Source organism: Homo sapiens, chromosome 16, assembly GCF_000001405.40.
Source record: "Homo sapiens chromosome 16, GRCh38.p14 Primary Assembly".
Lineage (NCBI taxonomy): Eukaryota > Metazoa > Chordata > Mammalia > Primates > Hominidae > Homo > Homo sapiens.
Genome location: NC_000016.10, coordinates 24,743,915 through 24,764,417, shown reverse-complemented (window position 1 = coordinate 24,764,417; position 20,503 = coordinate 24,743,915). Strand labels below are relative to the sequence as shown.

Here is a 20,503-nt window from a genome sequence, read left to right as displayed (position 1 = left end):
CAAGTGGAGGTTGCAGTGAGCTGAGATCATGCCACTGCACTCCAGCCTGGGCGACAGAGCAAGACTCTGTCTCAAAAAAAAAAAAAAGAAAAGAAAAGAAGAAATTGTGGCAAATATATACAAAGGAATATTATTCAGCTTTTAAACAGGAGAGCCTGCCATTTGCCACAACATGGATGAACCTGGAAGACATTGAGTGATGTAAGCCAGACACAGAAATAAAAATACTGCCAAGATCTCACTTACAAGTGGAATCTTAAAAAAAAAAAACAGTCAAATACATAGAAACAGAGAACAGAATAGTGGTTAGGGAGGGTAGATATAGGTCAAAGGGTACAAAGTTGCACGTATGTGGGTAAGTCTAGGGATCTGATATATAGTTAATAATATTGTATTGTATACTGGAAATTCGCTGAGAGTAGGTTTTAGGTGCTTCTACCAAAAAAACAGGGTTAACTGTGAGGTGATAAGTATATTAATTTGCTTGACTGTGGTATTCATTTCACTGTGCATATGCATACCAAAACATTATGTTGTACACCTTAAATATATATAATAAACAAGATCTTATGGAGAAAATGGAGTGATAAGTTCAGATCACAGGTAAATGACAAAGGCCTTTAATCACATATTTACCTTTACCAAAATAAAGATGAGAATGGAAGTGCAGTGGGAACAGGAACCTGGGGGTTGTTTTGTTCATGCTTATTACCAGTGACCATAACATTGCATAAAACAGGGTAGGCAAACAGTAAGTATTTCATGAATGATGAATGAAGGAAATAATGTCACTTTATGAAACCTGAGTTTAGAATAATGGATTATTACGTAAGTATTTTTCATTTCCTTCGTTTCTCAAGATGACCTCATGAGATAGTGAAACATGGATGATACTGGCAGTGATGACTGAAAGAAAAAGTAAAGAGGTGCTCTGTTTATTAATGAGAAGGGGACAAACTAAAAACTTCTTCCTTCAACACAAACTTAGCCATCTCAGTCACATTCTAGAGGCTAAACTGTGTGCTATGATTTTAACAAATGTACTGGTCAACAGGCATACTGGAAAAGGATTTAACTGTTATTCAAGCCCTTCAGAAAGGGTCCTCCACCCTTTGAAGAATGATGAAATGAAGGGTTCTTTTTTAGCAAAATTGTCATTACATTTCCCTTACAGGTGTAGCAAAAAAACACTTTGAACGTAATTTAGTACTCTGGTTTTGCTCCACAGAAGGATCAGTGTTTACTGCATAGAGATCAAAGCATGCAGGAGATTTTAGAATCAGCTGCTTGCTTGGCTCTCAAAACTCTTGTTCATTTTCATCAACAACCAAAGATGTAATAAACAATTTAAGAGCCAATGCCTCACCCATCACAAAGCTGTCAAATTCTCTGATTCACAAAATTATACTGGTGCTACAATTTAAAAAAAAAAAATCTACACGCTTAATCAATAGAGAAATACTGTAAAATCTGTTCCAAGATCTTTCTGGATTCCTTTTAAAAGATGAGTTGTTTTAGTTTATTCAGTGACTACTGTTGCAGCATGAGCAATGGTGTGTCCTTCACATCTTGTCTTCCATGTAACTGCAGGGGCTGTTTTTAAAGAAACAGAAGCGGTAGAGCCCAGTCAAGTTCGTAGTCAAATTCTGGCTCAGGCATTCGTTAGCTGCATAACCTGGGCAAGTTAGTTAATTTTTCCTAGCCTAATTTCACCTGTAAGTGGTGCTAATATCTACTTTCAAAGGGCTGCTGAGAGGATTAAACGTAAACTTACCTTGTGCTAGTATACACTGAAGGCCTACTCTCACATCAATTTTTAAATATAGACTACGTGAGTCCCAGAATACCCAGCCCCTGCTCTGGATCCCAAAGATTTCCAAAATTCAGTAACTAAAGTAACTCTTAGCACATTAAGAAGCTTTCAGGACCCTGTTCTGAACTGCTGATACCCATTCATTATTAGTGGTTAAATATTTAGAATATTTTCCTTGATTAAATGAAATAAAGCACAGTGCCTGGCACATAGAAGGTGCTCTAAGTCAGCTATAATAATGTCTACAATATGATTTGACATGCAGCTGACTTAATAGATAGTGAATATTTTTATCACCCAGATGTAGTAACATTGTGTTTGACAGAAAAACAAATATTAAGGCTAGAATTGATAAAAAATAACTGTGCCAATTGTGGCAGGAAAAAATGTATAAATGTTGACTTAATTTCATGAGTTTTTAATTAACCCAGAAACAGAGCGGCAGTAATAAACTAAACTTCGCTATTTTATCACCCAAAAAATAAAATCTCAATCCTTTTTTCTCCATTGCTGTTTCCCACTAGGATCTCCCCGGGCTTCCCATAACTCCCTTAGGAGCTCAGGGGTTTATTACTCTTTGGAAGATACCTTGCTCATGAAATCACTCAAAAAAGGCACTGGCACTGATATGAAGGAGTGAGACAAGAAGGGGAAGAGACAGAGGAAAAAGAGGTCAGGAGAGAGAGAGAAAATTAGCTGTCAAAAATCAACAGTGCTTACTTATTCTTTTGAAATGAATGTACAATCAACATGCTTCCCAAAAAACCCAATGTCAGCCAGCTGCGGTGGCTCACGCCTACAGTCCCAACTACTCAGGAGCCTGAGGCAGGAAGATCGTGTGAGTCTAGGAGTTTGAGACCAGCCTGGGTAATGTAGCATGATCACGTTTAAAAAAAGAAAAAGAAAAAAAAATAGCCTGCCCCTACAGTCCCAGCTACTCAGGAGGCAGGAGGATTGCTTGAGCCCAAAAGTTCAAGGCCGCAGTGAGCTATGATTGTGCACTACACTCCAGAGCGAGACCCTGTCTCCTTAAAAAAAAAGAAAAAAAAAAGTCAATGCCAGAGTTGTAAAACTGTTTTTAAAAAATTTTCTTATTCTCAACCAAGTTCCCAAGGACACTCTGAAGAAGGAACATTAGCTCTTTCCTTGCCTTTACATTACATATACCACAGGGCATCTTAAAATTTATCCATCTATCCCTATACCTCACCTGAAGTTTTTTAGCACTTCACTCTCCTGCTGTTTCAAGGACATACTCGTAAGAGACATATTTTAAAAGATTTTTTAAATATTCAAATATTTGTGTTCTTTACAGTTTTTCAAAGTTGAAGTCACAAGAATAAAACTTTCAAGAACGTCATTACGTTGCCCATTACACTTTAGAGCTATGTTGTCCCGTAAGATTAAAAATTTAGTTCCTCAGTCACAGTCCCATTTCTGGTACTTGACAGCCACATGTGGCTAAACTTGGTCTTTACACAGACTCTACAACACAGAAAGAGAAAAAAATCATACTGACATTATGAACTGTAAGAGAAGCAGGAATTCTGGAATAGGCAGACTCTTCTGATTTTTAAATGTTGGCAGTCATTTTAAAATGTACAGGATAACAATAAAAACACTGCAGAAACCAGAAACTGGGGAGGCCTGACAACTAAATGCAAGGCAGCATTTCGCATCGGATCCTAGAATGGAAAGCCGTTAATGGAAAAACTGGTGAGGTTAGTATCATGGTTGGTTTTTTAGTTTTGACAAATGTACCATGGTAATGTAAGATGCTAATAATCGGGGAAACTGAATGAAGCGTATATGAGAAGTCTCTGTACTATCTTTCCAACTTTTTTGTAAATCTAAAATTATTCCAAAATACAAAGTTTAGTAAACACCACCACCACCAAGTAGGCCACATCTGCCCCTCAAGTCTCCAGTTTGTAATCTCTAACCACTATGTGAACCCCAAACTATAAATACTACCTAGACAAATACATAGCACAGAAATAAAACAATACATTTTCATGAATCAGAAAAAATGGGAACAATTATGAAGAGAGACAGCGTGAAAAGAAGGATGACATGAGTGAAATCACTGGCAAAACAACAAAATGTATTCTGAAGTGACCTTCATATACTCAGCCTATCATCTACAGAGTCGTGGAAAAATCTAAAAACAAGAAGACTAAATATGTTCATATTTTATGTAAGGCTAGAAGAAAATTATTTACATTTAGAAATGATATAAACACTAGGTACTCAAAGATGTTGAAGAAACAAATATCCAAGGATCAGTCAAAAATGTAAGAATATAACCAAGTGCCCAAATTTGAGATTATAACATCCTAAGAAACTGGAAAGGGAGAGATCAATGGTACTTGGAGAGACCCATTCAAGGATGAACTCTGAGAGGTTTAGGAAAGCTGAAAGGCCTGATAAAGACATCTTTGGCTGATAAATTGAATAAAAAAGAAACAAGAATGAACATGAAAGAGCTAAGAATGCTCTAAAAAGTATAAGGACTGATGGGAAACAGGCTGGTTAGGTCAAGGGAGGTTAGATTAATGAGGGCCTTGAAAGCTAAGCAAAGGAGTTTGGTCTTGAAGCAAGAACAAATAGGGACAACTTACCATTGCTATGTGGGGGAGAGGGGTGGGGAAAATAGAGTTTTAGGAAAATTAATTTGGTAACATTCCTACTAATTTGGCAATGTTCCTCCCTACATTCCGCATCCTTGTAACTGTCTTAGACATTCCAAGTTCAAAGCCACAAATGCGCCTTCAACTCCTCTTCTGATCTCATCAGTTGCCAGTCCTGTCAATTATCCCTCACACATCTGTCACCCACCTTCTACCTCTACTGCCAAGACCTCAGTTCAAACCCTCATGACCCTCTCTAATCTTGCTTCTATTGGTGACTTTAGGCACTACTGGCAAAGTTAAATTTCCACAGCTTATGACCATGACATTCCAAATCCAAACACCTTTGCTGGCTTAACCAGCATGAAGCCCTGTGGCTCCCTCTATCTCCAGGCCTATATTCAGTCACTTCCCCCCAACTCTAGAGACAAAAGATGCACGTCGTATTCCCCATGCTGTCTACCTGCCTCCTCTGCTCACAATGCCTTTCTTCTCTTAGCTCTACCTTTCAAATCCCTACCTGTCTTCCAACCAATACTTTCCATGTACAGTAGTTGATAGCTTTAAAAAATGGAAAACAACGTAAAACAAAGCACCATGTCACTCTGCTTAAGTCTTGAATGCCTCCTAACTGCCTGTCACATACAAAGTCCAAGCTTGTTGGTACAAACAGCACATAAATTAACCCACTTTGACCTGGCCCCTATCTATCTTTTCAGCCTCAACCCTGCCCACTTATCACTGAATATTTAACGCTCTAGGAATACCACCACTGCATACTACATCATGTTATGGAATTCCACCACTGCAAGCCACATCATGTTATTTCTTATCTCTGTGTCTTGAATCATGCTTGAACCATTTCATTCCTTCTTTGAACCATTTCATTCCTTTATTCATCTTTTTTTTGAGGGGTAAGATTATACTTTTGATAGAGCTTAAAATAAAAATTCAGAATCTTGAGGCTTAATAAGTTCAGCACCTGAGAGCTTTACACCTTTATTACCAAGTAGCTCCTGGGAGGGTGAAGAACTCCTGATTCAGGATCTGAGAGGAATTAGTGTCCTGTTTCCTTATCACTCCGATGTCTTTTGCTTGGGGTCTAATGGGTGCTGTTCAAACCTGACACAATGTGTAAGGTTTGCAATCTACTATTCTAAGTGATAATACAGAGATGGATGTCACTATCTGTCTATAAGAAGGAATGGGGGACATTCTTCAGAGAACAAGAAATAAAGGAGGCAGAACTCTTAAGGGATACAGTGGGGTCCTAGAGGTTACCCCACACAAGAAGACTTTTAGAAGGAAGACTGAAGGAAAGGTGCCTGTGCCCCAAGAGTCAAAACAAGGGAGTACATTAGGAAGCAGTGCTTACTCTTATCCTATGACACAGCTTTAAGGCAGGTCTGAGGCAGTGCACTCTAAATGTGGTCACATACACCACAATAACCATGAAATTCCAAAGGACGACCCCAGGGTATGTTACTGAAGAAGGCTAATCCCAACCGCTTCTTTCATGCTCTTCTCTCTCCCATCCTTGAGGTGAACAAAAATGCACATAAACAACCTTGCTTTAATGAAAAAAGGGATAAAAAATAGCTTTAAACAACGTACCTTTGATTTTTTGTTCAGTGGCCTAAAATAAAAACAAACAAACAAAAAACAATGTAAATATGAAACTGAAAGAAATGGACTGTTATGATAAAATGTTCATATATTAATATAAGACATATACACCTTTATTAAACAAGGAATTTCTCAAATAGATGAACTGCACAGGAAAAGATATGCAAGGAAAGCATGCTTTTCCCACAGATGTGCCCCATTATCCCTGATACTATGTTTATTAATTTAAAATACCTAATTTTTGTGACACTAAGCATAGAAGACATCACTGTATGACAGTATATAATTTTTTAAATGGGAGCTGCACTTTTCTCATGTCCTTTAAAAATGATTTTTATACAAACTGTCACCTTTACATTTAATGGATTTAATATATTTTGCATGTTTAAATGGCTTCAAAAATTGTTACAAGTGATAAAAAGACGAATTAGGTTTTCTGTAAGAAAAGCTGTACATATAATCACTTTAGCCAAATTAGTAATAAATTTAACTCCTGGAGGTTAGGCTGCTATTGCAATTAAACTTAGTCAACTTTTAAGTATCTAAGTATTTTTGAGTGGAAAAAAATTTCAAACTGATTTATCACTTCTGACACATCTGACAATCTGTTAAAATTACTGTGATCAGAAGCTGAACTGACATGAACTCTGCTTTCACTGCCTTCCAATGTCTGCTCTTCCTTTATTTTCTGACACCACAACTGAGGAGAGGGGCTTGAGGACAGCAGGGTTAACTCGAGGTGACTAGCTCAAACTCCCAAGGGCTTCAAAAAGAACCACAGACAGAAAAACCCAAGCAAAACATCAATCTGTTGATCAAGATCAATATTATGGGAATCCTGAAAATAACAGATACAAGAACAGGAAAGGAGGTGAGAAAAGACTGAATAATTAGTAACTGAATAACCAGTTGTTGTTTCTAAATAGCAATAAAGCTTTTCTTAGCTGCCATGGGGCATAATTCATTTTGCTTAGTTATATGAAATTACTGTTATCAAAAATACCATTTTAAATTATACTATTATAGATATATGGGTAAAAGCTATAGTAACTCCCTAATATTGAAGCCACACCAAACATTAATCTTTCCCCAGAAAGCCAGGGAGTCTTGCTCCACCACGTAAGTGCTTTGCTAAGTTTTAGAGCACTAGTGAAATACAAAATAATGGAGGCTCATCTTTTACTCTATGGATCAAAATTTAAATGAAAAAAAAAATTTTGATGGAAAGACAATGCCAAACAACCAGTCAACTAGCTAACAACACTTCATTTGTTTCTGGGAAAATCATTTTTAAAATCTGAGAGTAGAAAAACAAGTCTTATTAGAGAGAAGTTAGTATATGAACACTTTTAGGTATCAGAAATGTCATGTCAAACAATAAGATGCATAATCTTCTGAAGCCAAAGAATTAGCAGAAAATTTCTTTTACACGTTGAAAGGCTTAAAAAAAAACAAAACAAACAGACAAAAAACACTCTCCTGGTCTCTTTCACAATTTACTTCCAATGGAAACTAAGTTTCAGAACATAGAAACAATGACCACATAAAAACCCAAAGTAGGCCAGGTGCAGCTCACGCCTGTTATCCCAGCACTTTGGGAGGCAGAAGACAGGCAGATGCTTGAGGCCAGGAGTTTGAGACCAGCCTGGCCAATATGGCGAAACCCCATCTCTACAAAAAAGCAAAACAAAACAAAGTATACCATGTTGCTCTTTTAGGCCTTACAACATAAAGGATATATGCTATACAACTCCTTTGGAAAAAGATGCTTTAAAACAACGGTCAACCTCATTCAGTATTCTGTCATCAACAGAGAATGGCCCCATGGAGACACCTAAGGTGTGTCTGCCCCTAAGAATCGGATTTAATGTATACAAGGAATGAAAGTAGTAGTATAGAAACCAAGAGCTCCTCATGGAATGGGAAGAAACGGAACTAAGAGTTCCACTTTTTTAAAACAGGTTTTTGCGGGCTGGTCTGGAGACCTAGTATATTATTCAAATTATTAAAAAGAATTTTCCAGGTGGGATCAGTCATTTTAAGAGTAATTGTCTGCACTATCCAAAACAACAGCCACTTGCCACATGTGGCTACCGACCACTGACTGAAATGTGGCTAGTCTGAACTGAGATGAGCAAAATACACACCAAATTTCTAATATTTGGTATTTTTAAAAGAACACAAGATGCCTTATTAAAAATACTTTATACTGACATGTCAAAATAGTAACATTTTAGCTATATTAGGTTATATAAAATATATTAAAATTAATCTGGTTATTTTTACTTTGAAATGCTCTGATCATTTAAACCCTCTGGGTCTCAGTTTCCTAATCTCTCAAATGGACAAAATAACTGTCCTGCTTACCTTTCAGGGTTATTATGAGGGTCAAATAATAAAATGTGAAAGATTTTTTTTGAAAAACTATACAACACTACTTCAAATGTGAAGTATCACTGTAAATCCTCTCATACAGATAATTAAAAGATTCTGGCCAATCTAGAAGCAAAATGATTTCCATTTTTAATACATTATTCTTTAAAAAAAAAATCTGAGCTATGGTTCCACCAGCAATGATCACAACTGCCTCCTTCATTACTGAAGACAGCAGTGCAGTGGCAGAGCACAGCACTCCACTTGCTTTGCCTGTCAGGCTCTGCACTGCTTGTCCCAACAACATGGTCCTGAAGCACACTTCGTTAAGACCTCAGGATCTAAAGCCTGACTGCCTACCTGGCTCTGCCACTTACACTGTGTGACCATGGTCAAATGTGTTAACTTCTCTAAAGCTTAGTTTCCTCATCTATAGAACTGTGGCAAAAACACCCACCTCAGAGTTGTAAGGTTAAAGGGATTTAACTCATATAAAAGCACTTAGGACAAAGCCTGACATATAGAAAGCATTCAGCAGACATCAGCTGCTGCTGTGGCGCTGGCGGCTGCTATCTTCAGCCTATCTGCCCATGCTTTGGCTCAGTATTGGCTCTCACTGTTGGAAATAAGCTGACTCTACATTCATCCCTTCCAGGTCTTGCTTTTCTTTTTTTCTGATCATCTACAATGTCTTAACAGTGCCAAGTATTACAACCTAACATTAAGAATAAAGAATTAATCTAGCTCAATTCACTGATTTTAAATGAGACACCTAGTGCTCAGAGAGCTTTCCTATGACTTAGCAATCAGCACTCAGTCTAGAATCCAGATCTGTTGAATAAAATGAGTTTTATAAAAGAGGAAAAGAGAAGTGTAAGGTGCAATGAGGGGCAAGACTGTAAGAGAACACCTAACTGCCCTCTATGAGAGCACAACTCAGGCCTGGTCATGTTACCACCAAGGTTACTGAGAAAATTTACTAATTAAGCTGCTGAATATGATCCTCAAAAATGGCAATAAAGCTGGAAGCTCTCTAAAACCTAGGTCTCATTTAAACTTGAATTTGGTATATTTAAGTCAATAACACCTATAAAAATCCCTTCAGCTCTTAACACAGTAACAGCAAAAAGCCCATGGATGTTGAAACATTCTCAACACCAAGAGATCCCAACTTGTATTGTTGCTTCCCCTCGGCCTTCAACGATTATATGCTTTCTAGGAACTACAATTGCATGCTTCAAGTAAAGGTTACACTAAACTACCCCTCTATAATTAACCTATTTCTCAACCTCTATTTTCCTCCTCATTACATTTCCCTTAAGATCCCTTGGAGAAATTTCTTCTAAAAACAGAACCTGGAGAGAAATCCATGGTAACCTACTGCTACTACTGTCACCCCCCTCCTTTTTTTAAAGTATGGAAACTACATTTCCATGCTCTGTCAAATTATTTTCTAAGCCCAAGAATCAGAAAATAATAGCCCTGGTTCTTAGATATGAAACAGAAAAGAGTGTTATACATAATCTTTGATGAAAAGGCTTTTCAAAAAATTTTAAGAACAAAAGTCATCGGTCTCCATATTAATTAGAAATGTATTGGGGCTGAAATACAATACAAATCACCCTGTTTTTAATGTGAAAAAGCTCTTTAAAGAATCTAAATATGTAAATTAATATTTAAATGATAGGATAATAAAAACTATCAAAACGAAAATATCGTTGTAAGGCTCGTCGGTGTCTAATTGTTTTTATAGGAAGTTGTGTTATCTGGCTTTTTATTTAAAATAGAAAATAACCCATGGTGTTAATTTTAAAAAAACCACAGTGGCTACTGGGGACCATTAAATGTATGCATTTTCTGTATTCATGGTATAAGAACCTATTTTATACCCTATTATAAAAATTATCACAATATATTATTTTCCAATTTTAAAGTTCACCTTTAAATGACAAAAAATAAAGCAAAGTATAAGATAATGTTCTGCATGAAAAGGATAAAGTCATGGCACAGGGTTTTGGCAAAGCACCAGCTGGAGGAGAGAGATTTCAATTATATTCCTGGTTCTGTCACCATGATAAAACCAAGGTCAATCACTTAATTCATTCTGATGCTTAGGTTCCTTATATTAAAAATGAACAAATGTATTAGAACAGATAATATCTGGCCTTTTTCAAAAATAAGAAAATATAAATTACATAAAATACTTTTTACTGTAGTGAGTTTATGTGCCAACATTTATATAAATGGGCCTGCCCACCTGGCTCATGTAGATATCTGCCTGGATACACCTGCTGGCTCCTACTAGCGACAAAAGACAAGTTCCAGGAAACCTGTCTTAAAAACCCTGTGACTCACAATTCCTCATATGGGCTATAAGTGTGTCATTTGGGGGTTTTCTTTTCTTTTCAAGAGCTATCTGGTAACACTCTATGGAAATACCAGCTGTCCTCACTTCACCGACAGGTTGTATTCAAATTCAGTTGTAAGCTGATTATTTGAAATTTGGAGAACAGTCTAATTTACAGTAGCGGCCTAGCCTGCTAAACTTAACATTTATTAGAGGTATTAAACCTTCCTTTATATTGTGTTCAGTGGGTAGATACTATGATGTGTCTATGAGACACACAGGAATACCCTATCAGTGCTGAAGATCTGGCAAAAGAAGGAAAAACTTCTTATATCCCTAAGCTTCTGATGATGGTTCTAGTAAGGACATGGTTGAGGTGAGAGACTGGAACCATGGGGTGAGACAGGAATGAAGTGGGCAACAGTATGAAAAGCTGTCACTTCAGATTTGGTGAGAAGTCAAATGGCACAATAATCACCACTCATGTGTTACAGGCTTATTTATAAGCTGCCTACACATAAGTGACCACTTATACTGACTTGGTGATTTAGAGATTTGATTATACAAGAATGTAAAGATTTACTTGTAACAATTAGAGCCATTGCTGTATATGTTACAACTTTAAAATTATATTCACAAAAATACAATATTTAAAGACATCATTCAAGTGACCCCTCCCTTTCTTAAAATTTCTCAGTAAATAGAATAAATTCCAAACAAATACGCTTATATATTGTCTTAGGCCTCTTCTCTAGCCATTTCACATACATTCTGACTTATCAGCTAATTCTTGAACTCCTTAGACACAGGGACCAACAGAGCCTAATTCAACACTCAGATGCTTGCCAAACTACTGAATCTACATAAAGTATATCCAACCATCCTTTTCAATAAACCTCTTAAGTTTCTTAGAAGCTCTTTTCATTGGGCAAATGGCCTTTCACACCATGGAACAAGAGTCTGATAAGCCTTTACCCCAACCTCAGACTTACAGAGGACACAACTTTCTCATAAGAAATCTCGAGCAATGACCGACCAGACTGCAAAGACTGTCCTACATAAACAGCCTCTGACAGAGGCCCAAGACATCCATCAATACCAAACCACGAGAAGCCTACCAAAACCCTAACCATGGCATATACCTATGCATCCCTTCCCAGGCACCCCTAAGAGCAAGCAAAAGGCAGGTGGCTAGGGCCACATCATCTCCTCTCATCTCATACTTAATTCTCCTCCCCTAATACTTGCTGATGACACCCCTAGGCTCAGGACATGCAGAACTGAATTATTTATCATTTCTCCTTTCTTTGTATCCCCTAGCCTGATTAACTCCTCTCAAATGTAGTCACTCATCTGGAACCTGCGAGTCAATCTAAGCTGACTCTCCCTCTATATCCTTTAAACAAATTCTGTGGATTACTTTAATAGTCCCTTCACCAGTATTTCACACTCTGGTATCTACCCCCTCTAAACCAATTCCACAATTTTCCAAGGTAAACATACTAAAATACAAACTTTTATGTCACTCTACTAAAACATTTTCAGCATTTTCCCCAAAGCCTTGAGAAAACCTCCTAGCCTTTCCTAGTTCAACTCTTCAGAGTTCTACCCTTGGTTCCCTCCCTTTCCCCCAAGCAAAACCCATCCTTTAATGCATACAGGCTACCAAGTATTTCTGAGTTTTCACTGTTTGGAATCCTTTTCTATTCTGCTCCTTATTCACCTAATTTCTACTCTAACGAAATTTCTCTGTCCCTCTGCCCCATTTCAGCCTGAGTTATGCACCTCTCTCTCTGTACTGCAACAGTTCCCCATAAATGCCTCACCTGCCATTTTTACAGCCTGTGTTTTCCCCTATTAAATAATGTGGACATAAGTATCTTGCTATAGTCTACATCCAGTTCCTAGCACAATGCCTGGCTCAAAAAAGGCATATATTAGAAATTAAAATAATTTTTCATTACAACAGATAATTGAAACAGTAATTTCACTAGGTTTTTAGAGCATTTTAATGTCTTGAAACCTTGACATAGTAGGAGATGAGTGCCCATTTAGCTAACTATTATCAGTTTTTAGTATTAACAATACTAATACAATTGTTTGGTATGTAACAATTAAATGGAAAATTTTTAATAATTACAGATTTTTTTAACTTACTTTGCATTGAATTATAGTTTCCTATACTAAATTAGCTAGTTTAGAATTCCCTTGCAGTAAACAATGTCCGAGGTTTATTTTAAGGCTAATGTACACTGCACACTTTAAAAATCAGCCCAGGTACTAAATAAAGAGGGAAAAAGAAACTGACACTTTACTTCCTATTATGTCTATTACATTTTCCTTTAATACTCTATTTCTGTATTACATATAATAACATCATCTCAATTCAACCCTCATTTAACAAAACACAAGGAAACTAAGGCCCAGAGAGGCTAAATAAAATCTAAAGTCACACCATTCTATGTGCTATGTGGGAGAGTGAGATTTCAAATACTCTCAACTTGGCTGCAAATTCCATGCTCTTCCCACTTATAAAATGATATATTATGAAACACCTAGGAACAGCTATTTGAAAGATAAAGATCCATAAAATGTACTTACCTTTGAAAAACTATTGACAAGATTAAATATGCATTAAATTGTACAAACTCAGCAAGTTACTTTATATGCATATTCAAAGACATTAAATATTAAAATGAATCTCCATTAAAGCTAAAACATTAAATCAAATAAATGCCTTCAAAATCTGTAAGAGTAATTTTTTTTTAATTCTATGTTTAAACTGCTTAATATAAATAGTTTACACACATACTACCTTCTTTTGAGCAGCTTCCTTCTTTTTCTTGTCGTCTTTTTTCTTTTTCTTTTCTTCCATCAACTGTTCTTCTTCTTGCACTAAATCCCTGAACCACACAGTTGCAATTAAGTTTCCCAAAATGTATTAAGAAATAAAAATAATGTTGCATACAGATTCATTTTCACTTTTTCACTCTTATTAGAAGACATGGCAAATTATTATTTTATCATTCATTGAAATAAAACACAACCTGCAACCTAACCCTAACTATATAGCCACTATATGGTACAATTCACTTTAATAAGCCACAAGTAGCACAGCTTTTATCTCAATATCATATCAAGGAAGACAACCTAAAATTAGCAAATTTTACATTGGGAAACAAGCAATTTCCTCCAATCCTAGAATGTAAACTTCATCATTTAAGCTGGAGTTACCTTGCTACTGGCCCCAAGTATCAATTAGTAGCTAATGGCAATGCCTGAGACCTCCCCACAATCCTCTCTCACCTAGGTTTCTGGAAGCTACCTTTAGTTTTCCTTGCTCTAAAAAGCTTTGTAAATATTTTTAGAATATAACTTATTAATAAATAGGTGATTTGTATTTCAGCATTACAACAATTTCATATTCTATCAACATTCCAAGGTATTCTATCAATTCTTGGGAAACAATAACGTACTCTTGTTTGTTCTGAGACAGAGTCTTGCTCTGTCACCCAGGCTGGAATGCAGTGGCATGATCTCTGCTCACTGCAGCCTCCACCTCCCGAGTTCAAGTGATTCTCCTGCCTCAGCCTCCCGAGTAGCCGGGTTTACAAGTACCTGCCACCATGCCTGGCTAATTTTTGTATTTTTAGTACAGACGGGGTTTCACCAAGTTGGCCAGGCTGGTCTCAAACTCCTGACCTCAAGTGATCTGCCCACCTTGACCTCCCAAAGTGTTGGGATTACAGGTGTGAGCCACCACGCCTGGTCTAATAATGTATTCTTCATATTAGTTTGTTTAAATTTTAAAAATCTCAAATGGTTAAAGTTGTCAACAGAACCTCTGGTTCAGGATTTCAAAGTGACAGACTGCGCAAATGTGTTTCAGGAAACAGGTTATTACCTTTCAGGAAAAAGGGTTATTACTTTTTTATTCTATTCAAAGCAAATGAATAAGCAAAAGCAAAAGCCACCCCACCCAAGAATAAACATAAGAGCAGTCTGAAATAGATGTTTTAGGCACCATCCTTTCTGGTGGAGCTCTAGAGAGGGTTCCAGAAGACCAGAGCAAGAGAGCATGAAGCAAAAAGACTGCCTAAGGAATAGAAAAGCCATAGCTACTCAACCCCACCCACTTCCCATCCAGATGCCTACACAGCCACAGATAGTAGCTGCTTCTAAATGCAGCCTCAAGCCAAAGAAATACTCTCTAAAGAAACAAAACCTTCCACAGGAGTCTGATAGGTGCTTGAATGGGTTTGGTTGTCCCAGAACAAAGCCCATCTTACTGGAGGCTGCTGCCACTCCCTCCATCACACTGTAAAGTAAAGCTTGCCAATCAACACCCTTCACACAGATCAGCCTTCCCATTCAGGGAAGGAGTCTACTGGGCAAAAAAAACCTTTGCAAAGGCGGAAGAAACTCACTCCGGCTACCTGTAGTCATCACCCTAAAGTCTAGACCCTAAACCTTCATTCATAATACCAACAACCAAAATAACCAGTTACCCAAAGAAAAGCATCACACAAAATGAAAATACCTAACTCTGCCCTGAGGAAGCTTTCCAGAGGGGACACTAAGAATATCAGGCAGGGGCGTGGTGGCGGGCACCTGTAGTCCCAGCTACTCGGGAGGCTGAGGCAGGAGAATGGCGTGAAACTGGGAGGTGGAGCTTGCAGTGAGCTGAGATGGCACCACTGCATTCCAGCCTGGGCGACAGAGCAAGACTCTGTTTCAAAAAAAAGGAATATCAGGCAGAAAAAGAGAGATTTGGAGATATGAACTAGACATTTTGGAAGCTGCACATTATTTATCAAGGCTGGAATGCATATGGCAGTAGGGATGTTGAAGAAGATAAAAGGAGAAAGACAAGTGCCTAAGAAACTGGAAGGGGTTGTTGCTATAGGTGCGCTGCAATGAGATTAAACAAAATTTAAGTTGGCTTTGCTGATGGAACAGACTGAGAGGAGATGCAGACACCGAAAAATGAAATGAATGACATTATGCACAATTGATAAAAACTTAGTAAAGTATAGGACTACTAAAATCAGCTAAAAGGATAACTGGAAGAAGAGTATGATAACTGTTGCTATACTTCGCTGTCATTTTGTTACAAGCAGAAGTGTCATGTGGCTAATGGAGTAACATAACAGATTCCTGCCAACTGTGGCCATGACTCACTCTCTTTTGAATTCTGTGTGCAGGAGGTAGTAAGACTGAACAAGCTCACTCACACTACAATCCCAGGGAAGTCAAGGAGCAAGAAAGCCACAGCATATGAGAGCAGCAGAGTAAAATCAGTAAACAACGGCAACTAGGTTACACCACTGTCATGTTACCTACCCTGAGACATGCAGAAGTCAAGATTAAAAGCTGATTACTAGTTAAAAATACTTAATCTTCTTCAGCCTCTGTTTCTTCATGAAAAAACTGGGGGCAAATGACCATACATGTCAATGTCTTAATATTTTTATAAGAATTAGGACTGCTTACTTAGCACAAAGCTTATCTAGTAAGCACTCAATTGCCTAGCCATGAATCCAACTCACCAGTCCTCAGTGGCACCCAAAAGGCTGTCTTTACCCTTCTTGTGTCAAAATAGCACAGGTACTTATTCAGAAACATCTAGCACCTTCAGCATTTGTTCTTCATGTTCTGCTGTGAATTACAGACATGTCCTTTTCTGATCTTCTATGTCACTATAATTTTACTCCATGTAATGGTCTCTATCTGGAGTATTTTCTCCTTTCTCAAACTTCATTTTCAAGACTTTCTGATGAGGTTACTAGCAAGTGTTTTCCTGGCCAAAAATATCCCCTTTAGTACTTAAAAGATGTACCAGACATTTCTTCTCAAGGAAATATCACAGTATCAGCCGATACTGTAAGCACAGAGGGGAGTAAGTTTTGTTCTTCAACACTATCATCACAGCCAACCAGTCATGCTTTTTCCCATATCTCCTCCTTCAGAGAAAGCCAACTGGAAAAACAACAACAACACCTGTGCCCAAACACGTCAGCTTCCAGGAGTTAAATGTTCATAGAGACTCACTTAAGACATCTGACTATATCATTTACCACAACTATCAAGAGGAGCAAGGACTGATGGATTTGAAAGGCCTAAGTGGGCCACCCTGTTTGATGCACCTGCCACCAAGACAACACTCCAGTTAGCAATCATCCATGCCCTGAAGGCTACTTTGCAGGATACCTCACATCTGTAAGTTCTATGAATCTACCTCGTTGTCTGTAAAAACCAGACTCCCCTTTTATCAGAACTTGACTTATGTCCTGCATCTCATGTATAAAGGCTTTGAGGTGGCCTGTAAAAGTCAATGCCACTGAGGGAACTTTCTAGGAAAATGGAAATGTTTTCTAACTTGATTGGAGTGATAATTACAAGGGTGTATACATTTGTCAAATCATTCACCTACACACTCAATGTTTGAATTTTACTGTATGTAAATTGTATTTTAAAGTTGGTTTCATACATTGACTAGGGGAAATGCAATATCTCGATCTGAAAAAACAAATAGATCAAGATTAGGATTCCACACAACAAATCAAGCTAAGCTTCAAATTTTGCCCGTATCTTCCAGTAGCCACTACAAATGATTTACTTGTACCGTTCAAGAATGCGTTTCTGGCCGGGTATGGTGGCTCAGGCCTGTAATCCCAGGAGTCTGGGAGGCCAGGAGTTTGAGAACAGAATGGGCAACATAGTGAGAGTCTGTCTCTATTTCAAGGGCCTATCAAGGGAGCAGGGTACACCTTGGAGGTAGAATGCCCCTTCCTACTCTTGCGCCTCCTGACACTTGATGGTCAATTTTTCCTACATTCCCAGCCCTGAATATCATTAAAATTAATCCCTTCTGAAGGGTACTCTTGTACTTGCTATCAGAAGTATGTATGGACTAGCACTAAGCTTCTGGTGAGCAATTTGGAAGTATCTATTCACAATGAATTTTTAAATGTCACTATCTTATGATCCATCAATTCAAATCTAAGCCTCTGAAAAAGGAACCGTACAAAGATAGACACCGCAGCATAAAATCATAACCAAAAACCAATCAATAGGGAAAAGTTAAATCATCCTGTAATCACACCAAGGAATACTACACAGTAATTTTAAAGTGGGGCGGGGAGTAGATTTCCATAGTGTACAGAACCAGCTCCCAATAGAAACCTCAAGCACTAAACTTCTTATTTATTTATTTAGAGACGAAGTCTCACTCAGTTGCCCCGAGCTGGAATGAGGTGGTGCTGGTGTCAAACTCCTGGGCTCAAGCAATCCTCCTACCTCGGCCTACCAAAGTACTGGGATTACAGGGGTGAGCCACTGCACTCAGCTAGGAAACATGATTTTTTTTATAGGAAAAAAATTCCTACAATTTTGTAGAAACAACTGAACACATCTGAAATAAGAAAACAAGCAAACATTTGGTACAGGTTGTAAACAAGATTAGTGAAGTAAGACAGGTATAAGAGCTGTTTCAACTGTGGAAGGCTTTATGGAGCAGTAAGAAGTTGATCTGGCTCTTGCAAAAGAGGCAAGATTTTTTAGGAGCACAGAAAGGTGTGGGCACAAGCGAAGTATGGAGACTTGTCAGCATGACAATTGCAGGGACCAGCACTGACTGGAATTGAAAAAGGGAGGGAAAATGTTGGGTAAGAATAGGCAATAAATTGGCAAAAACAAGGGTGAGAAGACTGTTGCGAAAATCTAAGTGAATGTGTAGTTCCCCAAACTAGCATGGTGGCAGTGAAAAAAGCAAGCAAAGAATAAATCTGAGATAACTCAAAATATCCTAACAATTAGCTGGGGGGGGGGGGGATGGTACATACCTGTAGTCTCAGCTACATGGGAGGCTGAGGCCCAAGAATCAACTGAGCCTAGGAGTTGGAGGCTGCAGTGAGCTATGATTGTGCCACTGCATGCCACCCTGGGCAACAGAGGGAGAAATGACAATAATGGGACAAGGGGTTAGGTGTCTCTATTTTGCTTTAGGAGACAGAAAACAGGAAGCAACTTTCCTGAGGGCCCAACTAGCCTATCAGTCAGCAACACACCACAAGCTAGCTCATCCTCACATAGAAGCCAGCTGTATGTTACAAGCTAGAAATAAAAATACACTTTACATCTTCTGCCAAAAAACATTCTGTTCTCCTACTTTCTCCCATGCAGATCCCACCTTCTTCTATTTCCTTCCAGTCTTCCTCTTTTCCCATTTGATTGCCACCCCCCATTCCTTTTCTCATTTTTATCCTCCTACCTAAATTAATCACCAAAACCTGTCTAGCACTACACAACAGGAAGTCACTAGCAACCTTCAAAACTATAGAATTCACCAGACAGTAGAGATGAAAACTGAACTGGAGCAAAAATAGGTAAGGAAGTTGGAGATTTGGATCGGTTTTTCAAAAGCTTCAGCTGTAAAATGAAGAGAATAGGATAAAATGAAGTTTTGCATATTTTTTAAAGTAAGGACAACTAATAGTTATCTGGAAGTGGAAAGGGGTCATCGTATTGAAGGGTGGGGAACATGCTATTTACAATAACTGACAATTATCTGCAAATACAGTAGTTAAATAAAATGGATATATCCATAAAATGGAATATTATGCAGCTGCAAAACAAAGGTCTCCTCTACACCCTGATGTGAAAGGATCAGGAAGGCTTAAAGTTAACTGGAAAAACAAAACAAAATCTAAGGCTCAGTGTGCTATCTTTTTGTGTTGGGAGGGATATGAATATATATATATTTACATGTCCTTGTACGTGCATAAAGAAATTCTGGAGACGTGTACATATACAAATTAATAAAAAATATATATTTGTGACAGAGTATGAGCACAAAAGAGGACAACAGACAGAGTGGCAGCAATGCTGTATATTTCTTAGCTTAGCTTTAGCTGGCATGTCTTCCCCTTAGGAAGGAAGGAGAATAGCATACAAACAGGTAGCAGTAAGGATCCAGATGACAGTATGGATCTCAAAAAGTGGGAAGTTGAGCTTGAAAGGGGCTTCCACTAGCACCATAATTTGAGCGATAAATTATGCTAATAAAAAATTACAAACAACTGAATAAAATAAGAACCCATGGGTCCATACTGATATGAATGAATGATTGAGTGAGTGAATGGAGAGAAGTACCAAATCTTACAGTAAAATATCAACTAATGTAAGAAGAATGGTTGACTTTAAAAATCACTACTTGGCCCTACTGGTTAAGGCAAGCACATTGATGAGAAAACAAGACATTTACGTACTCTCAAAGTATCTCCCAACAATAGTGTTATTAATTACAAAGGGAAAAATACTAACTTTGCAGTGATGAAACCCGACAGAGACCACCTCACCCAAGCAGTTGAAGTTAACCATCACCAATAATGGGATAAAAGGATATCAGGCATCTCCTGACATGATGTACTGAGAACACCACATCAATTCTGTACTATTCCTGCCAAAACTGCATAACCTGATCAGGTCATAAGGAAATAACGGACAAATACAGACTGAGGGACATTCTACAAAGTAACTAGCCTGTATTCTTTAAAAATATCAAGGTCCTGAAGAGCAGAAACTAAGAAACTTCCAGAATGCAGGCAACTAAACAAACATGAAAACTAAATGCTACTTGTGATCTTCGATTGAAGACCTGACCAAGAAAAAATAGATTTCGTTTGGCTCTAAAGGGAATTATTGAGACAACTG

The 20,503-nt window shown here is 37.9% G+C and overlaps 1 protein-coding gene across 48 annotated transcripts in view; it reads right to left on the bottom strand.

Annotated features, from left to right (window-relative positions):
- Positions 1 to 20,503, bottom strand: part of TNRC6A (trinucleotide repeat containing adaptor 6A) — a 216,014-nt gene that overhangs the window by 61,801 nt on the left and 133,710 nt on the right. For 43 of the 48 annotated variants that reach the window (XM_024450231.2, XM_017023145.3, NM_001351850.2 and 40 more), the window contains 2 exons: positions 13,605 to 13,692; positions 6,058 to 6,079 (listed from right to left, as the gene is read on the bottom strand). The exons of 3 other annotated variants lie outside the window; for them this stretch is intronic. In XM_024450231.2, coding sequence (XP_024305999.1) covers positions 6,058 to 6,079; positions 13,605 to 13,692 — 110 coding nt within the window. The remainder of the gene's footprint in view (positions 1 to 6,057; positions 6,080 to 13,604; positions 13,693 to 20,503) is intronic. 2 more of the 48 variants (XM_017023153.2, XM_047433937.1) reach the window with 1 other exon arrangement.